Genomic DNA, 7,542 nt, shown 5'->3' with positions numbered 1-7,542 from the left:
TGATGGGTATTGCCTAAGCCTGGATGAGTGAGAAGGATATCCACATAGGAGGGCAAGGAGATGGCAATAGCCTGGCATGGCTGTTAGAGCCTGAGTGGGTGAGATTGTCAACGCGGGGAGGCGCAGAGGGTTGGCGGCAGAAATGGGAGATTGATTATATGCAGGGATGCTGATCAAATAAGTTAAATAGATTAAGGGTAATGAAAGCCATATTTCTCACTGTGGGAGAAAAGGGCTACAAATATGGAAAGGTATAAAAATAGGATTTACCCTGTGGTGTTGCACTGGAATTGGAGGCAGCAGTATGAATTCATGATCTCCAATATACACCAATGGACATAAAAATCAACAGAGGTAAATATGTGTAAACATACACACATACATACACATATAGCTCCCTAACTCTGTCCACTGAGAAAGCCTGGGAGCAGTGAAGCCCAAGTAACAATAAGCACAAATCTTAGTGTCTAAATACCATTTTCTACTAAAAAGAACCAGGGCTCCTAATTGAAATGGATCATCCCAAGCCTGGGGCAAGGGAAGTACTAGATGACTGTGGAAAATGTTTTGTGTGAGAAATCGAGAAAGTGTTCATAAAATGATGGAAACATATCAAAAGAACACAGAAGCCACCTTGAAAGGGTTGCCACTGGTCACATCTGGAACTATTTTAGCACCAAAAAAATAGTGATCATACTAAATAATTATTCATTAAATAAAATAACAAATTTTAAAGGTAACTTTTCAGTGGAGAGGCCTGGCTCTTACCTGACCATAATCAGGTGATCAAAGTTAAAACCACTGGCTTAAATAGGTTGCTCAAAACCATGCACCACTTTATAGGATGTAATGCATCATTCTGATGATATTCCTGCCAATTATACATAACCTGAATTTAATCATAAAGTGACATCAGAAACACCACAATTGAGAGATGTCTACAAAGTAGCCTCCAATCTTGCAAAGTGTCAAGATCATGGCCATCGAAGAAAGGTAGGGCACTATAGCAGATTGAGGAAAACTAGAGATATGCTACCTAAAAGCAAAGCATGATTTTGAATGGAATCCTTTTGCTATAAAGGACATTATTGTGACATTGGCAAAACTTGAATAGGGTCCAAGGATTAGTTAATAGTAATGTATTGACTGTAATCTCAGCACTTTGGGAGACCCAGGTGGGTGGACCATTTGAGGTCAGGAGTTCAAGCCCAGCCTGGCCAACATGGTGAAACCCCATCTTTACTAAAAATACAAAAAGTAACTGGGTGTGTTGGTGTGCACCTGTAATCTCAGCTACTCAGGAGGCAGGAGGATGGCTTGAAGCCAGGAGGCGGAGGTTTTAGTGAGCCGAGAGCCTAGGTGACAGAGCAAGACTATCTTAAAAAAAAAAAAAAGTAATGTATTGATTTAATTTCCTGATTTGTGGGATCGTATTTTGAGTAGTAGGAGAATATCCTTGTTATAAAGTGGTTGGGTTGATGGGTCACATGGTAGGCAGCCTTTAAAATGTCTCCATGATCCTTTCCTCTTGATATTCACGCACTCATATAATCCCCACCCACTGAGTTACATCTATGCCCAGTGACTCACTTCCAAATAATAGAACACAGCAAAAATGATGGCATATCACTTATGAGATTAGCCTTTTTGGTTACAAAAAGATTGTGGCTGCCATCTTGGATACTCTTTCTCCTTTTCTTGCTCACTCACACTGAGAAGTCAGCTTCCATGCTGTGAGCTTCCCCATAATGGGAAGTACATGGCAAGGAACTGAGGGAGGCCTCCAGCCACATGCCAGTGAGGAACTGAATCCTCAGAAAGCAACTGAAGGCCTTAGTTCAGAAGCCTAAAAGGGGCTAAATCCTGCCAATGACCACTTGAAAGAGCTTGGAAGTGAATCTTCCTACAGTTGAGTGTTTGAGTGAGATTGCAGCCCTAGCCAACACCTTGTTCAAAGACTTCTGAGAGTCTCTGAGGCAGATGACCCAGCCAAACCACACCTGGATTTTGACCCACAGAAACTCTGAGATAATAAATGTTGTTTAGTATTTACATTTCTTTCTGGATTTTCTTGGATTTTAATGAAAAGTTGGGACACAAGGCATCAGTCTTCAAACTACATTCTGCTGTCTGCGGGCAAACAGAACTTCCTTTCTCCCTTTATTTTAGAATTAAATACATTCTAAATACATAATCTCATTCCTAAAGCTGCTAAGCTTTAGGGTAATTTGTTAGACAACAATAGATAACTAATATAGGGCATCATATTGCAACTTACTCTCAAATGGTTCTGAGGAAAAGGCTGTACTTGAAGTCTGATATTGTTTTTTGTTTTATAAAGTGTGTGCCTGTGTGTGCATAATGGATTATGTCACTTTCCAACTTAAATGTCTTTACTGGCTTCCCATCACATGTAGAACAAAATCCAAACTCCTTGCCATGTCCTCCATATTGCCCTTGCCCATTTCTTCAGCTCCTTTTCCCCCTTACCCCTCCTAACTTCTGCCACACTGGTTTTCTGTCAGTTCCTTGGACAGATCCTGCCCTCTCCTATCATAGGGCCATTGAATCCACTGCTACCCCTTCCTGGGATGCTCTTTCCCAATTCCTCATGTGAATATTCTAATCTTATCTTTGGAATCTCACTATAAATATTAGCTTAAGTCCCTTACTCCTCCTTCATATTCTCTTGTTTAGCCCCTCATTCATTTCTTTCATATACTTTATCAGATGTTGTAATTCTCCTATTTGTGTACTTGTTTTGATCAGTCTCAGCCTTTGATAAAGACAAACCCCATGGGAGACATCCTCCTCTTCTACACCATTATATTCCCAGTACCTAACAAATAGTAAATACTCTTTAAATACTTGTTGAATGAATTGATTAATATAATGTTGATCATCTGCGTAGAATTTTTCAAAGTAAAATTTGATTAATACTCACTCCCGAAAAGAAATTTTAAGGCTATATAGAGAGTTCAATTGTACCAATATAGGCTGATCATACCGAACAAGACTCATCATAATAGATTATTTATCTTTCAACATCAAAATTAAAAGTGTCCTTTTTCTATATTACATTCTGGTTATCTTGGTTACCACACTTACCTGTCTCTACAAGTGGGTTTCTTTTTCTTTTTTTTTTTTTTCATTCTTTCAATCCCTGTTTTGCAGATATCACAACAGAGTTGTATTCTATGTACAGTAAAATCCCACATTCAGATAACAGCACATTCTTCCAAGAGTTCCAGGAACAGCCTCCGTGTGGATTTAATAGGCCAAGAAGCATGGCTTTCAAGAAGGCAATGACGGTGGGACTGGGGACCCTCTTCTGACAGCTACATGACCCCATTCCTCTTCAACAGTTCAGCACCATCAGTGAGGAGAGAAAAAGGCAGAGAGAGAGACAGAAAGACAGACAGAGCATGCCCAAAATCCCCCAGCTTGTTTCTGTCAGAACACATCAGTTCCAGGTCATGTTTCTGCAGCAAGCATGTCATGGAGCAAGCATGAGCTGTCAATATGGAGAACAGAGAAGCTCCTTTGACAGATCCCACATCTACATTCCAGGCCCATTATGTCAAGATAACTTGTTGTTCCCCTTGAATGAGCTGCCTCTCCCTCTGCTGGGTCCCCAGCTGTGGAAATCCTCACTGTAGAGCCCTGAAAGATGCTACGTCTCTGCTTGTCATACATATTTACAGGCCAGAACTGCTATAGTCATAGTTGGGAACAGGGGTGAGGAGGGACAAACAGGCAGGAACATGGCCCATCTTCCAGAAGTGCCACCTGCCACTCCACATTCTCACCATGGGAGGTGTGTTCAGTTCAAACCTAGAATCATTAAAGTCAGCATCAGAGTTCACTTCTTTTAGTGGGAACCTCACACTTCTGAAAGTAGCTTTCAAGAAATGGGTAAACAAATCTTTTAATGAAAATTATACACTCTGCCTAATTCCTCATTACCTTTGGCTTCCAGTTTCTGGGTATGAGGGGGTTGGGGAAGAAGACAAATGTGTTTATTTGTTGACTGGGGCTGTATATTGTAAAATAAAGGGAGAAAGGTAGTTCTATTTGATAGGAGACTGTAGTGGGAAGACTGATGCCTAGTGTCCCAATTTTTTATTAACATCCAAGAAAATCCAGAATGAAATTAAGTATTTACACCGGCCAGAGCTAGTACTGACAGTCAAGCTATTGCCCAATTCTAGGAGGAATTTTTATAAACTACAAGACTGGGTAGATTGAAAAACACATTTGTGGGGGGTAGAGCCAAGATGGCCGAATAGGAACAGCTGCCGTCTACAGCTCCCAGCGTGAGCGACGCAGAAGACGGGTGATTTCTGCATTTCCATCTGAGGTACTGGGTTCATCTCACTAGGGAGTGCCAGACAGTGGGAGCAGGACACTGGGTGCAGCGCACTGTGTGCGAGCGGAAGCAGGGCGAGGCATTGCCTCACTCGGGAAGTGCAAGGGGTCAGGGAGTTCCCTTTCCTAGACAAAGAAAGGGGTGACAGACGGCACCTGGAAAATCGGGTCACTCCCACCCAAATACTGCACTTTTCCAATGGGCTTAAAAAACGGCACACCAAGAGGTTATATCCTGCACCTGGCTCAGAGGGTCCTACGCCCACGGAGTCTCGCTGATTGCTAGCATGCAGTCTGAGATCAAACTGCAAGGTGGCAGCCAGGCTGGGGGAGGGGCGCCTGCCATTGCCCAGGCTTGATTAGGTAAACAAAGCAGCCAGGAAGCTTGAACTGGGTGGAGCCCACCACAGCTCAAGGAGGCCTGCCTGCCTCTGTAGGCTCCACCTCTGGGGGCAGGGCACAGACAAACAAAAAGACAGCAGTAACCTCTGCAGACTTAAATGTCCCTGTCTGACAGCTTTGAAGAGAGTAGTGGTTCTACCAGCACACAGCTGGAGATCTGAGAACGGACAGACTGCCTCCTCAAGTGGGTCCCTGACCCCCAAGCAGCCTAACTGGGAGGCACCCCCCAGTAGGGGCAGACTGACACTGCACATGGCCGGGTACTCCTCTGAGACAAAACTTCCAGAGGAACGATCAGGCAGCAGCATTTGCGGTTCACCAACATCTGCTGTTCTACAGCCACCACTGTTCTGCAGCCACTGCTGCTGATACCCAGGCAAACAGGGTCTGGAGTGGACCTCTAGCAAACTCCAACAGACCTGCAGCTGAGGGTCCTGTCTGTTAGAAGGAAAACTAACAAACAGAAAGGACATCCACACCAAAAACCCATCTGTACGTCACCATCATCAAAGACCAAAAGTAGACAAAACCACAAAGATGGGGAAAAAACAGAGCAGAAAAACTGGAAACTCTGAAAAGCAGAGCACCTCTCCTACTCCAAAGGAACGCAGCTCCTCACCAGCAACGGAACAAAGCTGGACGGAGAATGACTTTCACGAGCTGAGAGAAGAAGACTTCAGACGATCAAACTACTCCGAGCTACAGGAGGAAATTCAAACCAATGGCAAAGAAGTTAAAAACTTTGAAAAAAAATTAGATGAATGGATACCTAGAATAACCAATGGAGAGAAGTCCTTAAAGGAGCTGATGGAGCTGAAAGCCAAGGCTCGAGAACAACATGAAGAATGCAGAAGCCTCAGGAGCCGATGCGATCAACTGGAAGAAAGGGTATCAGTGATGGAAGATGAAATGAATGAAATGAAGCGAGAAGGGAAGTTTAGAGAAAAAAGAATAAAAAGAAATGAACAAAGCCTCCAAGAAATATGGGACTATGTGAAAAGACCAAATCTACATCTGATTGGTGTACCTGAAAGTGACGGGGAGAATGGAACCAAGTTGGAAAACACTCTGCAGGATATTATCCAGGAGAACTTCCCCAATCTAGCAAGGCAGGCCAACATTCAGATTCAGGAAATACAGAGAACGCCACAAAGGTACTCCTCGAGAAGAGCAACTCCAAGACACATAATTGTCAGATTCACCAAAGTTGAAATGAAGGAAAAAATGTTAAGGGCAGCCAGAGAGAAAGGTCGGGTTAACCACAAAGGGAAGCCCATCAGACTAACAGTGGATCTCTCGGCAGAAACTCTACAAGCCAGAAGAGAGTGGGGGCCAATATTCAACATTCTTAAAGAAAAGAATTTTCAACCCAGAATTTCATATCCAGCCAAACTAAGCTTCATAAGTGAAGGAGAAATAAAATACTTTACAGACAAGCAAATGCTGAGAGATTTTGTCACCACCAGGCCTGCCCTAAAAGAGCTCCTGAAGGAAGCACTAAACATGGAAAAGAACAACCAGTACCAGCCACTGCAAAAACATGCCAAAATGTAAAGACCATCGAGGCTAGGAAGAAACTGCATCAACTAACGAGCAAAATAATCAGCTAACATCATAATGACAGGACCAAATTCACACATAACAATATTAACTTTAAATGTAAATGGACTAAATGCTCCAATTAAAAGACACAGACTGGCAAATTGGATAAAGAGTCAAGACAAATCAGTGTGCTGTATTCAGGAAACCCATCTCACGTGCAGAGGCACACATAGGCTCAAAATAAAGGGATGGAGGAAGATCTACCAAGCAAATGGAAAACAAAAAAAGGCAGGGGTTGCAATCCTAGTCTCTGATAAAACAGACTTTAAACCAACAAAGATCAAAAGAGACAAAGAAGGCCATTACATAATGGTAAAGGGATCAATTCAACAAGAAGAGCTAACTATCCTAAATATATATGCACCCAATACAGGAGCACCCGGATTCATAAAGCAAGCCTTGAGTGACCTACAAAGAGACTTAGACTCCCACACAATAATAACGGGAGACTTTAACACCCCACTGTCAACATTAGACAGATCAACAAGACAGAAAGTTAACAAGCATACCCAGGAATTGAACTCAGCTCTGCACCAAGCAGACCTAATAGACATCTACAGAACTCTCCACCCCAAATCAACAGAATATACATTTTTTTCAGCACCACACCACGCCTATTCCAAAATTGGCCACATAGTTGGAAGTAAAGCACTCCTCAGCAAATGTAAAAGAACAGAAACTATAACTGTCTCTCAGACCACAGTGCAATCAAACTAGAACTCGGGATTAAGAAACTCACTCAAAACCGCTCGACTACATGGAAACTGAACAACCTGCTCCTGAATGACTACTGGGTACATAACAAAATGAAGGGAGAAATAAAGATGTTCTTTGAAACCAACGAGAACAAAGACACAACATACCAGAATCTCTGGGACACATTCAAAGCAGTGTGTAGAGGGAAATTTATAGCACTAAATGCCCACAAGAGAAAGCAGGAAAGATCCAAAATTGACACCCTAACATCACAATTAAAAGAACCAGAAAAGCAAGAGCAAACACATTCAAAAGCTAGCAGAAGGCAAGAAATAACTAAGATCAGAGCAGAACTGAAGGAAATAGAGACACAAAAAACCCTTCAAACAATTAATGAATCCAGCAGCTGGTTTTTTGAAAAGATCAACAAAATTGATAGACTGCTAGCAAGACTAATAAAGAAGAAAAGAGAGA

At 42.4% G+C, this 7,542-nt stretch overlaps 1 annotated feature.

Annotated features, from left to right (window-relative positions):
- Window positions 4,547-5,071: an enhancer, noted in NCBI's record as "NANOG-H3K27ac-H3K4me1 hESC enhancer chr2:150363112-150363636 (GRCh37/hg19 assembly coordinates)". NCBI's record gives its function as "activates a minimal SCP1, AML or CMV promoter by ChIP-STARR-seq in primed H9 embryonic stem cells {active_cell/tissue: H9 hESC(primed)}" and the evidence as "EXISTENCE:reporter gene assay evidence [ECO:0000049][PMID:30033119]".

Source organism: Homo sapiens, chromosome 2, assembly GCF_000001405.40.
Source record: "Homo sapiens chromosome 2, GRCh38.p14 Primary Assembly".
NCBI classification, from domain to species: Eukaryota; Metazoa; Chordata; class Mammalia; order Primates; family Hominidae; genus Homo; species Homo sapiens.
Note: the sequence above shows the minus strand (reverse complement) of the source record. Positions and strands in the feature narration are given on the sequence as shown.